This window comes from Homo sapiens, chromosome 6 (assembly GCF_000001405.40).
Source record: "Homo sapiens chromosome 6, GRCh38.p14 Primary Assembly".
NCBI classification, from domain to species: Eukaryota; Metazoa; Chordata; class Mammalia; order Primates; family Hominidae; genus Homo; species Homo sapiens.
Window position 1 is genome coordinate 111565160 of NC_000006.12, and position 22380 is coordinate 111587539.

The window sequence follows — 22380 nt, forward strand, 5'->3', positions numbered from 1 at the left end:
TCTGCACTTGGTGGAAAGGGAGACAGAGACCATGAAGACTCAGATGGGGAATACCCACCCTCCTACTTTCCCACGCTGCTGACCCACAGGACAGACCTGGGACCTACATCTGCTTCCCCTGAGGTAAAGCTGTGTGCCCCGAGACAGCCTGACTGTGCCCTCCCCATCTTCCCATCTTAGTGACACTCTATGCCCATTCCAGGTGCCTTCCCCCTCATGAAGTGTTAGAGCTGAAATGGAGCTTATCAGTTCTAGTCCAGTGATTTTCCAAGCCTTTTTAAATCTCAGAATCCTTGGTCAACAAACAAGCCTGAGAAGTACAGACCAGCTCTGGCTGAGGTAGGGGTGGGAGGCGCAGACCCAGCCCCTCCTCCAGCACATATGGGCACCCACTGGGAACTCCACAGGACAGCCTGAAAGTCACAAGTGTAGCACCGCCTCCTAGTCAAGCAGAAACTGTCTCACAGCGTCTCTATAATCACGGGGAGAAGGAGGATTCGTAGCCCATAAAACAGCCAGTTCCAACGCTGGGTGATTGTTTCGGTCAGAATGTTCTAGTTTTATCCCATGCTGGACAAGTTTAATATCCTAAATGTCTCCCACTTATTTGAATATAACCAGGCCCCATAGTTCCCCACCTGTCATGAGCTAAGAACACTCCCTTCCCTTGTTTGAGCATCTGATATGCACCAGATATTTTGAAAACATTATTTCATTTCATCTTCACGACAATCCTGTAAGTATTAGTGACCCATTTTGTGAATAGGGACATTGAGGCACAAAGAGTTTAAGCAGTGGGGCCACGGTCACACAGCCTGTACATGAGGAAGCCAACTTTAACCAGGCCCACATGATGCAACAGCAGGTGTCCCTTTCACTACGCCACCTGCCTTTCTGAAAAGGTAGGGCACAGAACATGATACAGCTGCAGGGGCCAGCCCTCCTCACCACCCCGTCTCCTGCCTCCTAGGACTTCATAGTTGCTGGTAAACAGCCAAGCCAGCAGAGCACGTCTTTCCAGAATCTTGGATCCTAGAGATGACAGATTGCTCTCCCCTTGCAACTGATAGGAACAACTGAGTCCCAGAGGTGCAGGGACTTGCCCACAGTCCCTAAGGTAGATGGAGCCAGAACCAACAGCTCCTCTCCTGACATGGCAAGCCTGGAGCTCTTCACCCAGCATCATGCTGCCTTCAGCTGGTCTCTGGGGAAGAATGGGACTTCCCTGGACAAGGTATCCATCCCCAGGGGACAGTGAGGTGTTGTGATCCCCTCCCCACTCACCATTCGATGAATGTACTTAGTATGTAAGCCATGCTCATCCTCGTCCAGCTGCGACTCAGCGCCTTCCACGTCCTGTTTGTATTTGGGGCTGATTGCTACGATTATCATCACGGTCTTCTGTTAATGAGAGGGAGAAAGGCATGTTTATGGAAGTGTACCAGCAGGACTGTGGGCATTCTCTGACACACGGGGTGGAGGGCCAGGCTCATTCTCCATAGAAAGAGAAGCACTGGCCCCCACTCAGGCAGACTCTTATCTCTGCTTCTCCCTTCTGTCTCCAGCCCAGCCCCACCTTGAACATGCAGAGCAAATGGCTCAGAGAGGGGCTCTCTCAAATAGATGTGCTTTTGCCTACCATTTTCCACAACCATCACTAATAAACCTCTAATGAAAGCCCGAATCACTGAGTGAGTCTGTGTCGTGGCAAAAAGGCACTGCAACACCAACAGTAAGAAGCACCCTCCCTCCCTCCAGCTGGTTCTGAGCTGCCAGTCACTGCACTCGACTGCCCTGTCTTCTGCGTGTACACATTAGCACAGTCAGTAGGAACAGACCCTTCAGCACAAAGCAAACATCAGGCTGCAGACAAAAGGAAAAGTGCAACACCCCAGCCTGCTGAGACTCCCGTCCCCCACTGGCTCCCTCCAAAAGAAGCAGCCGACACGGACACGCTGGCAGCAATCAATTTCGATCTTGTTAAAGCACAACGTGTCCCAGTGGCCGGTATAGATTCTGTCAGTGGAGAACAAATCACGGGGCTGCACGTGGGCACCTCGGGGGTGGTGTGCTGTGCAGCCTGCGAGGCTGCCTAGGAAACCTCTTCAGCCCAATTCTACAAAACACTTGGGGTGGCCTCAGATTAAATTGAATTCTGCTGCTCTCTCCCCACTCTCCGCCTTCATTTCCTTCTTTCCTATTCTCGTCAAAAGATTGTTTCCTCTGATTGTTATCAACCACCTGTGTCTGGTTTGACCGTTATTTCCTGCCTGTGCATGTCCAAGAGGGCGACTCCGTCCTTCCTTTCCAAGTCTTTGCACGGCTTCCAACAAGGGAGGCTTTGTTGGGGCTTTCTCAGCTTCAGACTTAGGTGGGTATGCCAGGGTTTCTTTAATAAAACAACTTCATAAGCTCATTGTCTTTCTCACCAGAAAACAAACTCTGGTTTTTGGAATGTACTTACATCCCTAAGGTAGCGCTCCATCCATTTAATGATATCAATGCCTCGGATTCTATCCTCAAATATGTCAATCTGCAAAAAAAAAGATGTGGGAGTTGGCCCTTAATGAGAGGTTCTCTCAAGATGCAGAGCAGAAGAAAACACAATACTATATACATTTAAAGCTCCAAAACTTAACTAATGCTTTTTGCAAGAAGGAGCACATAGGTCTAAAAAACAAAATATAATTTTCTGAAAATATTCCCTATTTCAACATTAGTAGGCATTTAAGTAGTTAATGTTATGTCCATAATTAGGATATTGTGATACACATCAAAATATATCTATGGCTACACAATAATCAGGTTTTTAAAAATCTGAGGGACACGGTATACCACTAAGTTGGATATAAGCCAGCAATATACATATATTATATATCTGTAATTTAGACATTTGAAAGGCAAACATAATTCTGGAACATTTTAATGGATGTGTGGCATACAAGTAACTGAGATACAATTGTGGTGCTTTACTTGCATTAGTGAGGTCATTATTATGGTATTATGTACAGTTTCAATCTATATGTTTCAAAAGGATTGTATGAAACTTGGAGCAGAGCCAAGGAACAGTCACAAAAACAATTACTGAAACGGTAGGGAAGAGGTTTATGATGAAAGTCAGAAGTAGAACTCTTAGGCCTTGAAAAGACTGATATTTACTATCAGCATTCAAGTTTTTGAAGGGATATTTTAAAAGGAGAAAGATCAGTTATTTTTTATTTTATAAGAAACCAAATAAGAAGGCCCTTCTTGGGCTCAGGCTTATACTGCAGAGTGTGTGTGTGTGTGTGTGTGTGTGTGTGTGTGTGTGTGTGTGTGTGTGTGTGTGTGTACGTGCACGTGTGTGTTTACGAGATGCTCTTGATGGGAAGAGGGATTATATACTGGAATGGGTGACTCAGGGAGAGTGTCCCTGGGGAGGGGTTACGTGATTCAGCTGCACTGCTCCCAGATTACTTGTCCTAAATGTCATTCCAGGCCAGGCACGATGGCTCATGCCTATAATCCCAGCACTTGGGAGGCCGTGGCAGGCAGATCACTTGAAAAGCCATCCATGATCCATCCATGATCCAGCCTCGCCATCCATGATCCAGCCTCGCCTCTCTTTTCCTCACATATCCTGTCTACTTTACTCCCCACATTGGAGTCCCCTGTACCCTAAAGGCACAGCACAAACCCCCCTGCTCTGTGAATCCTTCCCACATGCCAATCTCCTCCTCTTCCTCACTTCACCTAACTCTACCCCATTGTGACCACTAATGATACTGGACAATTAACACGTATGATAACATTCTTTTATTCAGGACATGTTTCATTTATGTCTGCTGTGTCTCTTCAACCTGATGCTAAGCCTCCTACGGAAAGAGACCATGCCCTGTGTATACCGAACTATCACATACATAGAGTACAGAGTTCAGAATATGTGTCTTTACATGAAAAATGGAATGGCTGTTATTTTGGTTTAGATGACTCCTGTTTTCAAATGTGTGATGGCCAACGACTACTCTTGAGAACGCTTTTGTAGCTTTCTGAGACTGTGTCACTAATCCATTGCTATTATATGGGAGAGAAGCAATATAGTGTCAGGGTTGAGAAGAAACGGACAGCTTGGGTTCTGTCTTGGCTTTGCCACTTCCCACCTGCATGACTTTGGAAATGTTACTAAAACTCTCTAAATCTTATCTTCACTTGTAATATGTAGTTAATAAACTGACTTCCTACGGTGGTTGTGAGAACTAAAATGAGTTAACATGGAAAAGGCCTATCATAATGCCAGGCAGGAAATAAGCACTCAGTAAATGGTGATAATTGGCCGGGCGTGGTGGCTCACGCCTGTAATCCCAGCACTTTGGGAGGCTGAGGGGGGCAGATCACTTGAGGTTAGGAGTGTGAGACCAGCCTGGCAAACATGGTGAAAACCCGTCTCTACTAAAAATACAAAAAAAAATTAGCTGAGCTTGGTGGCAGGTGCCTGTAATCCCAGTTACTCAGGAGGCTCAGGCAGGAAAATTGCTTGAGCCTGGGAGGCAGAGGTTGCAGTGAGCCGAGATCGTGCCACTGCACCCTAGCCTGGGCAACAGAGCAAGACCCCGTCTCAAAAAAAATTAAATAAATAAAAAATAGTGATTATTGTTATTATCCAAGCACTCTAAATTATTCCCAGCTACTGTAGTGGACATCCTGGGTGGTGCAATGAGCTGGATATCTTCCATTTGTTTCTCCAAGTCTCTCCCAAAGTCCATAGCTCCTGTTATGATCATTCCTCCACACAGCTACTATTATGGGCTGAATTGTGTTCCCAAAATTCCTATGTTGAAGCCCTATCTCCCTACCCTACCTCAGAATGTGACTGTATTTGGAGACAGGACCTTTAAAGAAGTAATTAGGATAAAAAGAGGTGATATGTATGGGCCCTAATCCAACAGAACTGGTGTCCATAGAAGACGAGATTAGAACACAGACGTGTCCACACAGAGGAGAGACCATGTGAGGACAGAAGGAGAAGACAGCCTCAGGATGAAATGAACCCTGCTGAAACCTTGATCTTGGACTTCCAGACTCCAGAACTGTGAGAAAATAAATTTCTACGCTTAAGCCACCCAATCGGTAGTACTTTATAGGAATCCTAGCAAACTAATATAGCCATCCTCTTCATCTTCCAGTAAGAATTCCTTCTTTGACTCTTTAGACCTAGGGGCAGTAACAACTCCCTGCTTTTGCTAGTGCCAGAATACTGCACTATCCCCAATAAAATTGGACTCTCTAAAACCTACCCAAAGCTTTGTAATAGGCCCCTTATTACACTCTCCTTAAATTACTCATTAAGTGTTTCATTCCACTAAGGGGATCTAGATGTGTCAATAATAACTTAGCTGTCCAGGACCGGGCTCTGTGATTTCTACCACAAGTCTTCATAGAGATGAGGGTCAGGGACAGATTTAAATTCTGCCTATGTGGCCCCTGGTTGTGAAGATAAACAAACAAAACCTAAGCTCTCCTCCAGGGGCAATCAGTATGTGTCTTTGGAAATGACAAAAAGTAAGATCTTTTCTGAAATGCTGGCCTTATGTCTTAGTATTTATTTATATTACAGACCTGGTCTTGTTATATTGCCCAGGCTGGCCTCCAACTCCTGGGCTCAAGTGATCCTCCCACCTCTGCCTCCCAAGTAGCTGGGACTACAGGCACGCACCACCACACCCAGTGTAATTTGATTTTATGTCACAGTTGCCACAGTGCTTTCTTTTTTTCTTTTTTTTGGAGACAGAGTCTTGCTCTGTTGCCCAGGCTGGATTGGAGTGCAGTGGTGTGATGCCGGCTTACTACAACTTCCACCTCCCAGGTTCAAGCAATTCTTGTGCCTCAGCCTCCCAAGTAGCTGGGACTACAGGCGCACACCACCATGCCAACTTTTTTTTCTTTTTTTTTTTTTTTGAGACAGAGCCTTGCTCTGTCACCCAGGCTGGAGTGCAGTGGCGAGATCTCGGCTCACTGCAACCTTCACCTCCAGGGTTCAAGCAATTCTCCTGCCTCAGCCTCCCAAGTAGCTGGGACTACAGAAATGTGCCACCACACTCGGCTAATTTTTTTGTATTTTTTGTAGAGATAGGGTTTCACTATGTTGTCCAGGCTGGTCTTGAACTCCTGACCTCAGGTGATCTGCCCGCCTCAGCCTTACAGAGTGCTGGTATTACAGGTGTGAGCCACTGCGCCTGGCCATAGTTTGTATTTTAGTCGTGATGGGGTTTCCCCATGTTGCCTAGGCTCGTCCCGAACTCCTGAGCTCAGGCAATTTGTCTGCCTTGGCCTCCCAAAGTGCTAGGATTACAGGCATGAGCCACCACGCCTGGCTGCTATAGTGCTTTCTTATACCAGAAATGAGAAAGGGAAATATTAGTCTCTATATAATTATGGAGTTGGATTGTATAAGTTGTATGCATTTTTTAAAAAAGAACTTTCATTTTCATTTTTTAGAAAATTGTCTTGGCCGAGTGCAGTGACTCACACCTGTAATCCCAGCACTTTGGGAGGCCAAGGTTGGCAGATCATGAGGTCAGGAGTTCGAGACCAGCCTGGCCAACATAGTGAAACCCCATCTCTACTAAAAATACACACACAAAAAAATTAGCTGGGCATGGTGGTGGGCACCTGTAATCCTAGCTACTTGAGAGGCTGAACCTAGGAGGCAGAGGTTGCAGTGAGCCAAGATCACACCACTGCACACCAGCCCAGGCAACAGTTCTAGACTCTGTCTCAAAAAAAAAAAAAAAATTATCTTATAGAATAAAGAAAGCTTCAAATAAAAACTCCTGTTAAACAATACTAAATAACTTTTAAAATTGATATTTAGTTACTAAGTATCCCTCTTTACCCATAGACATTTATATTCATAGATATTTCCCTTAATTTTTCACCACTCTCTAGAATTCACTAGAAAAGGCCTAGAAGAGGGCTCTGGAAAGGAAAAGAAGTTATCTCAGTGTTTGAGGAAAGCCAGTCCCCTGAGTAGCATCATGTGGTACTTTATTTATCATAGAGAAAAATTTACATGGCTTTAAGCTGTACTGTGTCAAGGGACTGCAGGGGGACAGGGGCAGTGTGTGTTTCCTGAGATTTCTGGAGCCAAGATCACAGTGGGCTTGCAGGGCTGGGTGAGGTCAGCCTCCCCTGGAACTGGATTAGACCAGCCCCAAACCTGGCCAGTATCACCCATCCAGAAGCATCACTGCGTCAAGGTATGAAAATGGCAGCTGTGCGCAATGGGGGATTCAGGCTGCAGGATTCTACTTCAAACCTCATAACCCAGTGCAGAACAAAAGGTCCTTGTTAAATAAGCAGGTGACCATGGTGAAGCCTGCAGCTTCCTGCATCATGGGAAACTCAGACAAAGTGGGCATGATTGGTGAGAAAGGACAAAGGTACAAAGTGCAGCAAGAGCCCGGCGTTTCCTTCAGGCCAGGGGCCGCTGCATATGTGGTCAGCATTAGCACTGATCTTGCTGTTCAGAGGTACTTGGGGTCACTCAAACAGCATACAGGAAAAAAATGCTGGAGACTTCAGATAGCTTAAAATCTAGAAAATTATTACCTAAATCTATAAGCATTCAATGCATAATCACATAAATCAAATAATATCATTTAAAACACCAACAGCTATTACACTTTTTCTTCTGCTGCTTTTCTCTCCATTGTACTCACTATAACTGTTCAGTTATCTATTTGGACAAAATACTTACTGCAGTTTGGAAGCCATTTACCAACAAAAAGTTCACGAATTTCACCACCTCCATAGCTGTGTCCATCGAATAAGTGATAAAGACTTTCCCTAAGAGAAAATTTTTACATTTATTAGAAACTGATCAAATTATTCTATTGTAAACAAACTTCTAAATTATATGCAATATCTTTTGTCCTTCTAGAATAATAAGAGGAAACCTTGGGCTTGGGGTGCTCTAAGAGCTTATGCCTACGTTGTATGCTGTCCTCAGGGCACAGCTCCTCAGGCCCAAAATGCCAGTGGGTCTGTCCAAGGGAGTGCAGACTGCTCAGCGTGAATGGAAATCAGAGCGACAGAGGAGAGCACTGGCAGGCTCAGACAAGCCTAAGGAAATCCACCACCCAGAATCCGCGAGCCCTTAAGATCAGGCATGACTAGTTTCTTAGAGACACTTGGCACTGTGCCCAAGGAATACTCTCCCAGCAGGCAAAGAAGCTAAAACTTGCTAAGGGACCACCCAGCAGTGTCTTCTTTTGATCTCCTGATGCTCTCTGCTGCCCTGAAATCTCGCTCTTCTGACAATAGCAAGTGGGAGGAGAGTGAGAAACTGGTTCCCCGCTCCCTTCTTCCCCGCAATCCACTCACTTTTGCAGAAAGGCCAGCAAGTTTGGAGTAGACCAAAGCACAGCTCAGATATGTTAGTAAAAAAACACTTCAGCAGCTTGAAGAAGAGACACTGCCTCTGGGCAGTCCAACATCACAGACTCCATCACTCATCCCTGGGTCAGCTTAGAGCAGCAGACAGTACAGTTTGGATAAGCTTTACCCAGTCAGGATGAACCAGTGTTTTCTCAGGCTAAAGTCTTGGGGAAATTGTCTGACTAGCATTTTAATGTGAAAGCTGAATAATTACTTTGTGTTGGCTTTTAGTCTGGAATGGACCACTTAAATCTCAGGAAGCCCTTGGGGCAGAAGATGGAGAAGAAAGGGGGGCTGGAGAGAAAATACGAGTCTGTATCTACACTGAGGTTTTTTGAAACACACCTCCCAAATGGAAGTGTGTATAATGGTCATATTAACTCACTTAAGCAGCCAGATATATAGATGGCACTCAATTTTCTTCTGAACACCTAACATTCACCCAATTGTTACGTATTTGAGGACTTCCTTTATAGATTATGGTAAGATATATATGATCTATAGATTGATATCAGGACTATAATGTATGTGGGGCAGCATCTGTTCTCCAGAAATGCTCAAAATTAAAATGATTAAGATCTTAAGAAAGTGTTCAGAAATAAAATGTTTTGAATGAAAACAGCAATGAATCATTGTCATAGAGAGCTTTCAGAGTTGTCAATGACTAAACAGCACAGATCCCCCAAAAGGAATTAGCAGATGCAAAAGGCTTTGTTTCAGGTTTGGTTCAAAGAGGTTCCCAGATTTGGAAAATGCATATTAGAATTACCTGAGCTTCTCTAGCAAGCACATCATATAATAATTTCACAAGTAGTGGCTGTTTTCTTAAGATTTCTGGAAATTACTGTCCTGACTGACCTTAATATGAGAACATTTTGGTGATATTTCAACATTTCTGGTTCTGGCAGCAAAATGTGGAAAAAGAATCATCACCTTACGCTTAGTTGAATGTTTCTTTAAATAAAAGGCTTAGTTTGCATTTGGTTGTGATGCAGTATGGAGAATGTGAGACCGTTTTTTCCAAACAAGATTGCTCATTCCTACAGGAAATGACCTCATTCTTGATGGCTGCTGCTAACTTATGGTGAGATGCTGGGTCCCTGCCCAATACCACATGGACATCCAATCAATTTACCCAGGGACAAGTCCACTCAAGAGCATCATTTAGAAGAGGGAAAAGGCACTGGGGTTATTTGTTTTTGGAGTATGTGCTTAAGGAAATCTAGAGGTAAGCAGTTTTTGAGTGTTACTAGTGGTGTCAGAATCACTAAAAACATTCATACAAAATGCTGGTTACTTTTTAAGCAAAAAGCAAAAAAGTGCATTTTATTTTACTGTGTACATGAGAAATAGCTGAGGTTATGAGGCCAGGTACAGTGGCTCACGCCTGTAATCCTAGCACTTTGGGAGGCCAAGGCGGGTGGATCACTCGAATCCAGCAGTTTGAGACCAGCCTGGGCAACATGGCAAAACCCCGTCTCTAGTAAAAGTATAAGCAAATTAGCTGGTTGTGGTGGTATGCACCTGTAACCCCAGCTATTTGGGAGGCTGAGGTGGGAGAATCACCTGACCCCAGGAGGTTGAGGCTGCAGTTAGCCATGATCACACCACCGCACTCCCGCCTAGGCAACAGGAGTGAGACCCTGTCTTAAAAAAAAGGAAAATCTTCGAGATTAGGGACGAGTGATCATCCAGCCATCACAAAGTATAAGACCTCACAAGAAGAAGGAGTGGCCGGGTGCGGTGGCTCACATCTGTAATCCCAGCACTGTGGGAGGCCGAGGCAGGTGGATCACGAGGTGAAGAGATCGAGACCATCCTGGCCAACATGGGGAAACCCCGTCTCTACTAAAAATACAAAAAATTAGCTGGGTGTGGTAGTGGGCACCTGTAGTCCCAGCTACTCGGGAGGCTGAGGCAGGAGAATGGGGTGAACCTGGGAGGCGGAGCTTGCAGTGAGCTGAGATCGCACCACTGCACTCCAGCCTGGGCAACAGAGCGAGACTCCGTCTCAAAAAAAAAAAAAAAAAAAAAGAGGAAGGAGAGAACAATGTTGCAAACAACTTACGCAATTCTTCTGGCAAATTGCTTGTTTTTAGAGTTCCTCTGGCTGGAGGGTTGCTAGGGGGTCTAGGCACAGCAGCTGGGGACGGAGGCTGGGGAACCTGTGGTCTCAGCTCTGCAGGGCACTCCAAGGACTCCCCAGGAGCACCAGCTCTATTAGGTGGCTGGTGATGTGGCTGGTCCCTAGAAAGGAATACATTTACAGTCAATTTTCATTCTTTACAAAGGCAAACCTTCAGGGACAGAAAGACTTTTAGAACTATGGGAAGATCCCAGTGGGCTCTCTCTCCTCTGCCTCTATTTCTTAACTGAGACAGAAGGAAGAGGGGAGCTCCATGGAGTTGTAGTCAATAAGCGTTTCAGCTGGCTGCCACATGTGAGGGCCTGTGCTCTGACTCCAAAGAGGGAAGCAGGATTTGATTTCTCTATTCAAGATTTGTTTAATTGGAAAAACAAGTCTCATGCACAGGGCAGACAAGGTCACCAACAAAACAAAGTAGTATGACAGGTGACACAGATGGTTGATGTTATAGGCATTCAGATAAAAAGACATGACTTTTAGCTCATAATAGGTAACATTTAATTATGTATCAAAAGGTAAAGAGGGCCATGTAGATTTAGAAGTATTTGTACTGTTGACATATAAATGGAAATCTGATTTTGAAGACCCTTTAAAGAAGTTGCTACCATATTAGATAGCATCTTTATTATTTTCGTTGCCAGTATTCCCACGAGCATTCTGCTGAGATGAACAATCAGATGACCTCGTGTGAGATTTGGAGGAGAGAAGGAAATGGAGAGCATGCGTCTGCCGCTTCTGTGGTTTCTGTCGGTAAGCACAGTGATGAGGTGCTGAGTTTTCCCCAGAAGGCCTCCCAGTGTCCTATTACCAGCTTCACAAGCGTCGAGGGCAGGGCATGGGCATCTATTGTTCACCAGTGGAGATCTATCTGGCACAGAACCGATCCAACCATTGCAGTGGTCACAGCGGTGTTGGCTTTCTGATTCTCAACCTTCCTGACCGCCAGAGGAGACAGCCTCTTTGGTGGCCCTGTTCTGTGGTATTGTGCTAACCGGTGGTGGGACTAAAACTGTCTCTATAATGTTTTATTTCTTAAAAAAAAATTCTGAAGCAAATGTGACAATATGTTAACATTCTTAAAATCTGGGTAGTGGGAACATGGATGTTGTTATTTGTGGTGTGTTTGAAATTGTGTCATATTATAAATTTTAAAAAAATGTTTTGACTACAAAATCTCTATGTATATGCCCAGTTTTTGTAGATTGTTGCTTACGCTTTTCATATTTTTACCCAAGGAGTAATCAGGAATTCTAAAAGTCTTATGTAACAGGATTTAAAATAAAATTACACAGAATCTCAACTGTACTATATTTTGAAAATATGAATGATTAAGATTATTTTTTATATTTTTATTAATATAGAGAAAATAATTTCTATAAAATATGCTTTCAGCTAATGGGGGATCCCATTCCATATTTTTTTCTTTTTCTTTTTTTTTTTTATTTCTCCAAGAAAAACTCATTCCAGTTCTTTTGCATTAAATTCTCTTATACCAAAAAAATTGTTTCAAAAGTTGCTTAGTTGTTATAGAAGATGATTGCTTATATGATAAAGAAATGTTAAGGCCTTGATAATATTCAAAAGCTTCTGTATAAAAACAATACCATGGAAATTAATGACAGAGTAAACTTTCTGAATTAAAGTTCTCTTTCAAACTATGAGTAAGAGGAGAATTAGCTGGCTTCTTTTTTCTTTTTTTTGAGGCAGGGTCTTGCTCTGTCACCCAGGCTCAATCACAGCTCACTGCAGCCTTGACCTCCTGGGCTCAGGTGATTTTCCCACCTTAGCCTCCTGAGTAGCTGGGACCACAGGCATGAGCCACCACACCTGGCTAATTTTTGTATTATTTTGGTAGAGATGGGATTTCGCCATGTTGCCCAAGCTGGTCACAAACTTCCTGCCTTGGCCTCCCAAAGTGCTGGGATTACAGGCATGAGCCACTATGCCCAACCTCAGTTGGATGGGTTTGTGTGTATGTGTGTGTGTGTTTTGTTTGTTTTTTAGTTTTTGAGACAGAGTCTCACTCTGTCACCCAGGCTGGAGTGCAGTGGCACAATCACGGCTCACTGCAGCCATGACCTCTTGTGCTCAGGCAGTTCTCCTGCCTCAGCCTCCTTAGTAGCTGGAACCACAGGTATGTGCCACCACACCCGGCTAATTTTTGTATTTTTTTGTAGAGATGGGTTTTCGCTATGTTGCCCAGGCTGGTCTCAAATTCCTGGGCTCAAACAATCCACCCACCTCTGCCTCCCAAAGTGCTGGGATTACAGGTGTGAGCCACCAAGCCCAGCCTAGCTCCTCTACCTGAACTTATTTTTCATTATCCTAAAGTGATAAAATAGATCAAGAAGATCAGAACAGGCTTAAATTGATGCTATAAAACCAATTACTCTGTATTATCTTTGCAACTCTTTTGTAAGTCTAAAATTGTTTGAAAATAAAAGTTTATTTTAAAAATTACTATTCTCTTTCCTATTCAACACAAAACTTATTTCATAAAGATGCTTACATTTTGTTTATTTCCCTGGAATTTTAGATATTTCTTCTGTTAGAGTGCCTATCCTGCTATAAAATCACATTTTACCTAATTCCATTGTTTAAACTCCATGTATTTATGGTTTAGAAAAATAAGGGATCTGGCCCAGCACGGTGGCTAACACCCGTAATCCCAGCACTTTGGGAGGCTGATGTGGGTGGATCACTTGAGGCCAGGAGTTTGAAACCAGCCTGGGCAACAAAGTGAGACCCCTTCTCTGCAAAAAATAAAAAAATTAGCTGGGTGTGGTAGCGGGCGTCTGTAGTTCCAGCTACTCTTGGGAGGCTGAGGTTGGAAGATGGCTTGAGTGCAGGAGGCGAAGGTTTCAGTGAGTCGAGATCTCGCCACTGCACTCCACCCTAAGTGACAGAGTCAGATCCTGTCCCAAAAGAAAGAGAGAAAAAAAGAGATCTGTCTTGAAAGAAAATATGAGGGTTTGTGGGCTTCTGAGCAAAAGAGAAAGCAGGCATGTGCCTCTTCACCATTGTTAATAAAGTGGGCTTTTTTTCTTTCCATGAAATGTTCAAACTAATTACCGCTTTCTGTATTTCTGAAAAATCCACTCTAATAGGAACTTCATATTTTACTCTATGCTGTAAAAACAGAATCTAGTTTTACAGTGGTATATAAAAGTTGCTTTTGAGCAAAAGTAAACATTTAATCTACTTTCTTCCAAATATTGTCATAAATGAGGAAGCTCCATTTACATGAGTTTTACCTATATATTTTAGATCCATAAATTAAGAGAAAAGGAAAGTCCAAAGAGAATAAGGGAAAAAAAATGATTAAAGAGGCAGGGCACAGTGGCTCATGCCTGCAATCCCAGCACTTTGGGAGGCCGAGGCGGGCAGATCACAAGGTCATGAGTTCGAGACTAGCCTGGCCTATATGGTGAAACCCCGTGTCTACTAAAAATACAAAAATTAGCTAGACGTGATGGCGCGCAGCTACCCAGGAGGCTAAGGCAGGAGAATAGCTTGAACCCAGGAGGCGGAGGTTGCAGTGAGCCAAGATCATACCACTGCACTCCAGCCTGGACGACAGAGCAAGGCTCCATCTCAAAAAAAAAAAAAAAAAAAAAAAAGATTGAAGAGTTAGACAACTGAAGTCATGAAAATACGGAGTTAAGCATAGGAGAGACCTAATAATGGTACTCAACATGTATGAATGTTTTTATTACAAAAGAAAATAATAGGCCAGGCACAGTGGCTCATGCCTGTAATACCAGCACTTTGGAAGGCCAAGGTGGGTGGATCACTTGAGCCCAGGAGTTCAAGACCAGCTGGGCAACATAGGGAGATCCCTTCACTACAAAATATACAAAAGTTAGCTGGGCATGGTGGCGCATGCTTCTAGTCCCAGCTACTTAGGAGGCTGAGGTGGGAGGATCGCTTGAACCTGTAAGGTAGAGGTTGCAGTGAGTCAAGTTTGCACCACTGCACTCCAGCCTGGGTGACAGAGCAAAACCCTGTCTCAAAAAAAGAAAAGAACAGGTAATTTTAAATTTTGATGGAAAATTAATTGAATTTAACATTTTAAAGTAAGAAATAGGCTTAAACAGGAACAGACACTAGACATATAAAGAGTTGGCTAACAGTGGAAGTCAGTCGTAGTAAAATCAAAAATCTATTTTGTGGACTAAAAATTCAGATGATCTGAAAATAAAAGAAAGGGGTGTGACTTGGAGAACATCTGAAGAGCCTTTCCTTCAAGAGAATTTCGACTAGTCACTAGTGGCTTTCTATGTCTGATAAAGAGATCCTTGTCAACCAGCTTCCGTTTCCTCCTGACCTGAAAAGTCTATATTGGGCATTCCACTATGTGACTTGCTCACTAACGTGGGTTAGCAAACCTATAGAGAATTCTGTTACATCTTCATTGCATTGGCATAATTCCTTTCCATGTTAAAAATGCCTGAAGGTTGGGCCTGTCATACTTACTGGTGCCTTGGAAGCCCCGGAAAGGAGCAGTCTCTCTGTGCGGGCCTCTCTTCGTGGTCCCAGGGGCTGGGATAATTCAGGATAACCTTCTGCACAGGGTGCAGGCCTCTCACACTGGCTCCAGGCAGGGGCTGCCCAGGCAGAGCCGGCTGGATCACTTGCTGGTAGGCTGCTCGAGGGTAGTCATGGCCATCTGTAGGTGAAGACAACAAAGACAACAGGGAACATCAACTCTAGCTCCTTCGTGTGAAAGGAGTCATAAGCTCCATGCTCATTTGTGTCTTGATCCCAGCTGAGGGGTCCAGATATCTGTTACCACCTCTGTGATGTTTGCCGTATTTCTCTACTGTTAATTACTTGAGTGTTTTCACGAAATTCACTTTTTTTTGTCCTAAATAAAAACATCTGCGAAATCACCAGTTTGGTATTCCAGCTGGAGAGCTCAAAAAACTTTTCAAAAAACTCTACACAGGCTCCTCTTTTCGTAAGATACTTAGGAAAATCCAACCATGAAGAACCTCTTTCACACCACCATTCCTACCACAATTTCCTTCATGTCCCGAACCCAAGGCTAGGAAAAATTATCTGTATGATAGATATAGAATCACTGCTCTGTATTTTCCTCCCCCAAGTGGACATACACGTGCATGTGCACACACACGTGCGCGCACACACACACCCCACTCTCCTCTTAAGAAGAGGTAAATGAATGAAAACTTGGCTCATCCTCCTGGGAACTAGCCAACCAACTGGCAATACCCTCCAACTCCCTTGGTCCTCTCCTGCTACAGCCTACGTGCACTTGGAGCCAGGGCTGCTTGAAGAGGGCTGGGCTCAGAGCAAAGCCAGAGCTGGCAGTGACTTATGTGAATGTGCAACCTGGGAGAAAGTGGGTCCCAGCCAGGACCAGGAGCAGGAGGGTCCCCAGGGAAGGGCAGCCTGCTGCTGCCAGAGTTAAGCATAGGAGAGACCTAATGCTTAATCACGCAAAAGAATAGAACTAAAAGCCCAGAGGAGAGATGCAGGGAACCAAGTAAGGGTGAGAGGGAAGGGCTCTGAGGGAATGGCCCAGGCCCAAAGGGGGTAAGGTGTTGGGAAATACGAGAGATGCAAGAGGACTGAAGTGAGCCACATGGTAGCCCTGCAAGATGAGCAATGAGCACCTCCTAGTGATCCAAGCACTGCCCCTCCTACCCACATAAGCAGTAAGACGATCCAGGAGGAGGCGTAACTAGTTAGGACAAGAAGGAAGGTGTTTTGTTTTGTTTTTTAAAAATCCTCATTGATCTTAAAATTATTTTGATTCTTTTAAGATCAACCCTCATTGATCTTAAAATTATTTTGCTGATTATAAATGTAATAATCAAGTTTGCCTGCCATGTAGATAGGATACATATATGGATGTACAGCAAAATAAAACTGGCAAGTAAACAAAAAAGTGACTGATAGGTTGAAACCAAAATGAGAAGCTGAGAATGTGGATAAAAATTGATTCTTAAGGCCAGGCGTGGTGGCTCACACCTGTAATCCCAGCACTTTGGGTGGCCGAGGCAGACAGATCACCTGAGTTCAGGAGTTCGAGACCAGCCTGGCCAACATGGTAAAACCCCATCTCTACTACAAATACAAAAATTAGCTGGGTGTGATGGCGCGCACCTGTAACCCCAGCTACTCAGGAAGCTGAGGCAGGAGAAACCCTTGAACTTGGGAGGCAGAGGCTGCAGTGAGCTGAGATTGTGCCATTGAACTCCAGCCTGGGCAACAGGGCAAGACTCCGTCTCAAAAACAAAAAAAAGAACTGTATTCTTAGCTTGGCAAAGCAGTCAGGAGCCATCTACGTTTTCAAAGGAACATTCAGGGGAATGATGGCCTCAAGTACAGAACAAGAGATAAATAATGTGCACGTTCACTAGTGTGGCCTCCTCCAGGTTCCCAGTGCCTAGACTCAGGAAACTGTTTGGGTGACCTGGCGATGTGCCCAAGCTAGTCTCTCAAGTGTGGTCAGATTCCCTGGACTCAATCTATTATTGTCTCCTTTGACCCATGTCACCACCTGGGTCCTTCCAGTCATGCTTCTTCTGGCAAAAGTGACCATGCCCCTCCATCCCAGACTGTCTCCTGGCAGGACCCCATGACCCTTGCCCTGATATTGCTTAGGCCTGGTCATGACAAGTAGTAGGGGTTTAAAGAGGGGGAGGAGGAGAAACAGATCTGCCTAGATCTATCCCTGCACCTGGATGACAAAGGAGACTGGGACTTGAAGGGACTGTTCTCAGAATGGAAGACAGGCCCACAGAGACTCCTATGGTCTAGGACAAGGTCTACTGCACAGGCTTCACCTTGGCAGCCTTCTCAGGGCAGGGCGGATATATTCCAGGGGGTCCAGATCACCAGTTGCAGTTTCAGGGCAACAGAGCAAGTCACTACTGCTCCTTTCCCTCAGTTTAAAAAATAGCAAAAAATGCCACTGCTATCAGGTCCCCAGGTAGGGGCCAGCCCTGCTTTTCAATGAGCCTTGCATGAGCAGACCCTTTACAAACCCAGCTGTAGCTAGAACCGTCTTGGTGGACTGCACTTACAATCCACCCTGCTAGATCAGGTTCCCGCCCCTGTAGATCTTGCCTCCCACTACACTCTCACTGGCCCACTAAGCTCTGGCTTCATTTTGAATATCCCAAACTTGTCCTCTCCTTTGGGATCCTGAGTTTGCCACCCTCTTTGTCCAGAATGTTTTTGCCCTAGATTTTCACAGACTGACTTCTTGCCATTCAGAGCTCAGCCCAAATATCACCTGTCCAAAGAGTCCTGCCTCTTCACCCAGTTACTTTATCCCATTCCCTATTTTGCTTTCTTCGTAGTTCCTATCATGGGTTTGCATAAGTAAGCATGACTTTTACCTGTCAACTTCTTGCCTGCCTTCCCTACTAGAATATAAGCTCTGTGAAAGCATGGACTGTGTCCTCTTACCACCATGTCTCCAAGGATAGTACTGGCACCCAGGGGATGCTCAATAGATGAATGAATGAAGGCTCAATAGTTACAAAGCCAACTTACAGAAAAAGAGAAGCCATTTAGGACTGCACAATCTATTAATACTTTCTAGGGCACAGGTCTCCTAGACCAGGGGCTCCCAACTCCCAGGCCACAGGCTGGTATCAGTCCATTGCCTGTTAGGAACCAGGCCACACAGTAGGAGGTAAACAGTGGGTGAGTAAGTGAAGCTCTGTCTGTATTTACAACCACTCCCCATCACTTGCATTACCGCCTGAGCTCTGCCTCCTGTCAGATCAGCAGCAGATTCTCACAGGAGTGCAAACCCTATTGTGAACTGCGCACATGAGGGATCTAGGCTGCACGCTCCTTATGAGAATCCAAGGCCTGATGATCTGTCACTGTCTTCCATCACCCCCAGATCTAGCTGCAGGAAAACAAGCTCAGGGCTCCCACTGATTCTACATTATAATGAGTTGTATAATTATTTCATTATATATTACAATGTAACAATAATAGAAATAAAGTGCACAATAAATGTAATGCACTTGAATCATCCCCAAACCATCCCCATCCCCAGTCCATGGAAAAATTGTCTTCCATGAAACTGGTCCCTAGTGCCAAAAAAGTTGGGGACCACTGCCCTAGACTGTCTTAATTCTCTTCTGCTGTCCATTTGTTTTGGGGGTTTTTTGGTTTAATCGGTGTCTCCCTCCAGAAGTAGGAAGGAGAAACACAAGGTAAAAGAGGAGAAACTTTGCCAGTGGCCTTAAAAGCCTTTATGAGGAAAAAGCTGAAAGTATCTTGAGAAGTTTTTAATGTTTGAAGCCATTTTTCTTCCTATATCCATTAATGAATGGCTAATATTGTTTTATTTGCTTTAAAAGGACTACCAAGCTCTAATCATAGGGTTTATTTCTTTTCCAGAAAGCGGATGTTGGTGCTGTTAATCAAAAGCCTTTGAATCAAGGTCATATGATTTCTAACAGATTATTTCCCTCACAACATGTCTTTGTCTCACAGCAACAAATCATATCATTAAAATCACCAAGGCATGTGGGCTAAGTGTTTGATTAGCTGTAACTTTCATTTCAGAAACGGCCACCTGTGGTAAAAAGTTATGCCAGTTTATGTGAGCAGATGAAAATGATACACCTCATCAATTTTTAAAATTAGGGTACTGACAATATAGTCCTCCATGCTGTCCTTTTATTGTTGAAAACAAAGGAAAACTGAGTATCAGTGGATCAGTAAGAAATGAGTGTTCCCTTTTGTAAGTGGAATCTGACCAGCTTTGTCTGGAATTTGACTGGTTGTATGGAAAAGGTTCCTAAATAGGCTGGACACGCCTGTAATCCTAGCACTTTGGGAGGCCTAGGTGGGTGGATCTCTTGAGCCCAGGAGTTTAAGACCAGCCTGAGCAACAAGGTGAAATCCCATCTCTACAAAAAAATACCAAAAAAAAAAAAGAAACAAGAAAAGTTGCTAAATAAAAACTATGTTTATCAAGTAAATGACCATCATTTCACTGCTAAAGTTTTAATCATTTTTTTCCAATTACTATGACGAAGGCTTGCCAATTTACTTGGGTACTATACATGTAAAATAATGGCTAACATTTATTGATCACTTGCTACATGTCAAGTACTGTTCTAAGTTCCATATTGAGAATTATAGAGTTCAATTTTCCATTTTCATAAAGAAGTTTAACTCAGAATAAAAATCCAGATTCCTCACCATGGCCCATCCAGCCTTCATCTTCTAGCACACCATTCTCTCCTTGCTCACTCTGCTAGGCCCCACTGACTTGCTTTTGGTATCTTAATGACATCAAGCTCCTTGCTTCCTTAGCTCCTTGCTTCCTTGACCTTCTCATCCTTTAGGTTTCAGCTCAGATGTCTACTTAAAGAGATTCTCTGGTCAACCTGTCTATTAATGTCTGTTCCAACAACCAGTTACTTCCCTTATAGCACTTATAATTTGTCATTCTGTTTCTGACTTCTACTTCTTATCCATCTCTCCAGTAGACTGTGAATTCCATGAAAACAAGGACGGTGTATAACTATTTGCTGAATAAATTGATAAGTGGATGGACAGGTTCTGTTTCCAAATTTCATTGACTCCCTTCTTTGCTTCCCTCCCAGGCCAAAAAAAAAAAAATGGCTTTTCCAAGGCTTCACATTACAAAGACTCTACTCATGATTAAGGCTCACTCCTTTCCCCAGGAAGTAGAGAACAGATTTCTTTTTATTCATTCAACAAATATTTATTGAACCTCGATGGCCAGGCACTTGGTGAACAAAGATAAATAGGATACAGTTCCCTTGGGATTAGCTCAAAATAAATGGAGAGAGAAAGAGAAAATCTATGTGTCTGTGGGTGTCTGTTTTTAAACACAAACCCACACTAGTTAGTGTGTGAGAAGGGGAGACATATGAGTCGACAGCCACCTACTTGAGAATCCCTGTTCAGAAATAGCTTCCCTGCGGACTTGTCCCCAATGCCTACAGTTCCATCAAGAGAGTTAATTCTGTAGGAGAGGGAAGGTGGATGATGTGATAGACAAATGATTTGCTAGCATGGTAACTCCTCAGTTCAGAGGCAGTGTTAATCACAAAGCAAAAATGAAAATCTTGCACAATCACAAATGGGCGCCCAGGACTGTATGTTATTTGTCAATCCTGTGATCTTCTTGGCCTGAGTACACACGATCTTCATGTTACTGAGCTTTTACCATTTGGAATATGTAAACCAAATCCTAAATGAGGTTTTCCATTTATCAGTCACAACATGCAACATTTTTCTTCCTTATTAAGAATTAAAAGAGTTTATGAGAGAGAAATAAAATCTGATTTTCAAGTTGTCAAAAAAAATCGTGATATAATGCAATCAGTTTAGCCAGGAAACAAAATGGCCAATATAAACTGTTGCAGGAACTCCCACAGCTGTAAGCAGCTGTCGTTCCTGAAAGGCAACTCCTTCTTTATCATTTCTTCCATCTGGTTTATTTTTTGTGCATGCATTCTAGCATACAAATAATCCCTCCCCTTTTTTTTTTTTGGTCCACAGGTACAATTGTACACATGTACCTGTAATTTTATTCTATTCAGTCTCCTTGGTAGAGAAAGCAATAATTTTATAATAAAATGAGGGCTCTCTAGACTTAATTCTCTCTCTTTTCCCAATATATTTGCATCATGAGTTTCATTTGATTGCACAGCCATGAACTCCATGCTGGCGACCTTCAGTGGAAGGATTCGGAGGCAGCAGGAGGCCGACTTCTCCAGGGGGTGGGGTGAGGAGAAAACGTAGACTTATTCCCTTTCTTATTTCCACCTACTTTGAAAACTTTTTTTTTTTACATGAAAGGGGCGACCAATAACCATTTTTGCTTTAACTTGCAAAAAGCTTAGATATGCCATTTGCATGGTGATCATTATTTATTTATATATTCATTAATGGGTAAGGAAGTAATGCTCTTCTAAAGCTGAGTAGAGCCACGTAGCCATGGTTTCCAACTGCACAAGCATCCCTTAGGTGAACAGCTCTTTTGAAGTGGTTTTGTTAGCAATTAAGTGCAGTTATAGCCCTGACATGAAACTAAGCATTTGTACACCTGCCATGAATGCTTAAAATCTGTGCCAGTGAGTGGGATCTGGAAGTAGAGGAGCACCCTGCAGAACTGGGCTACAGGATGCTTTTAAATAATAACAATAATAACTAAAAGCTGTTAGTATTGAGGGCTTACCACCAGCCAGCCACTTTCCTAGTGCCTTTAATACATTATCTCATTTAATCCTCACAGCAACCTTCGTGGGACTCATTGCTGCTGGAGGCCTCATAAATATTCTAGGGCTACAATGCCCTGCAAAAAACCCATCAGCACTGGCAACCCTGACCCTCTTCTCTGTGGTTAGATGGGAGCCAGGGCCAAGGGACATGCAAGGTGAATTGGGGCGAGCTTGCCTTCTATATGTGCTGTTTCCCTTTGTTCTTTTCAGTTTTTACTCATTTCTTAATTATAGAAGTAATACCTGTTTGCTATTTTTATTTTTATGTTTTCTATGTGTTTTTGTTTTTGTTTTTAAGACTGAGTCTCATTCTGTTGACCAGGCTGGAGTGCAGTGGCGCGATCTCAGCTCACTGCAACCTCCACCTTCCGGGTTCAAGTGATTCTCATGCCTCAGCCTCCCCGAGTAGCTGGGATTACAGGTGCCCACCACCATGGCTGGCTAATTTTTGTATTTTTAGTAGACAACATTTCACCATATTGGCCAGGCTGGTCTTGAACTCCTGACCTCAAGTGATCTGCCCTCCTCTGCCTCCCAAGGTGTTGGGATTACAGGTGTGAG

The 22380-nt window shown here is 43.7% G+C and overlaps 1 protein-coding gene and 1 non-coding gene across 7 annotated transcripts in view, besides 2 other annotated features; one reads left to right on the forward strand and one right to left on the reverse strand.

The window, feature by feature from the left end:
• TRAF3IP2-AS1 (TRAF3IP2 antisense RNA 1) overlaps nucleotides 1-22380 on the forward strand; it is a 118824-nt gene that overhangs the window by 81688 nt on the left and 14756 nt on the right. Inside the window, exons 2-3 of one of the 3 annotated variants that reach the window (NR_034108.1) lie at nucleotides 9462-9643; nucleotides 11203-11311. The exons of 1 other annotated variant lie outside the window; for it this stretch is intronic. This is a non-coding gene — a non-coding RNA (TRAF3IP2 antisense RNA 1). Of the gene's footprint in view, nucleotides 1-9461; nucleotides 9644-11202; nucleotides 13022-22380 lie in introns of those variants that run through there. One more of the 3 variants, NR_034110.1, reaches the window with a different exon arrangement.
• The window catches only part of TRAF3IP2 (TRAF3 interacting protein 2), a 50498-nt gene that overhangs the window by 9779 nt on the left and 18339 nt on the right, over nucleotides 1-22380 (reverse strand). For 2 of the 4 annotated variants that reach the window (NM_147686.4, NM_147200.3), the window contains 5 exons: nucleotides 15038-15230; nucleotides 10484-10662; nucleotides 7736-7824; nucleotides 2465-2533; nucleotides 1285-1401 (listed from right to left, as the gene is read on the reverse strand). In NM_147686.4, the coding sequence (NP_679211.2) occupies nucleotides 1285-1401; nucleotides 2465-2533; nucleotides 7736-7824; nucleotides 10484-10662; nucleotides 15038-15230 (647 nt within the window). Of the gene's footprint in view, nucleotides 1-1284; nucleotides 1402-2056; nucleotides 2121-2464; nucleotides 2534-7735; nucleotides 7825-10483; nucleotides 10663-15037; nucleotides 15231-22380 lie in introns of those variants that run through there. The other 2 variants (NM_001164281.3, NM_001164283.3) reach the window with 2 other exon arrangements.
• Nucleotides 77-1276: an enhancer, noted in NCBI's record as "MED14-independent group 3 enhancer chr6:111886439-111887638 (GRCh37/hg19 assembly coordinates)". NCBI's record gives its function as "activates an origin of replication core promoter dependent on BRD2, BRD4, P300/CBP and CDK7 cofactors, and independent of MED14, by STARR-seq in HCT116 cells {active_cell/tissue: HCT116}" and the evidence as "EXISTENCE:reporter gene assay evidence [ECO:0000049][PMID:35650434]".
• Nucleotides 1156-1205: an enhancer, noted in NCBI's record as "active region_24948". NCBI's record gives its function as "activates an Ori minimal core promoter by ATAC-STARR-seq in GM12878 lymphoblastoid cells {active_cell/tissue: GM12878}" and the evidence as "EXISTENCE:reporter gene assay evidence [ECO:0000049][PMID:35858748]".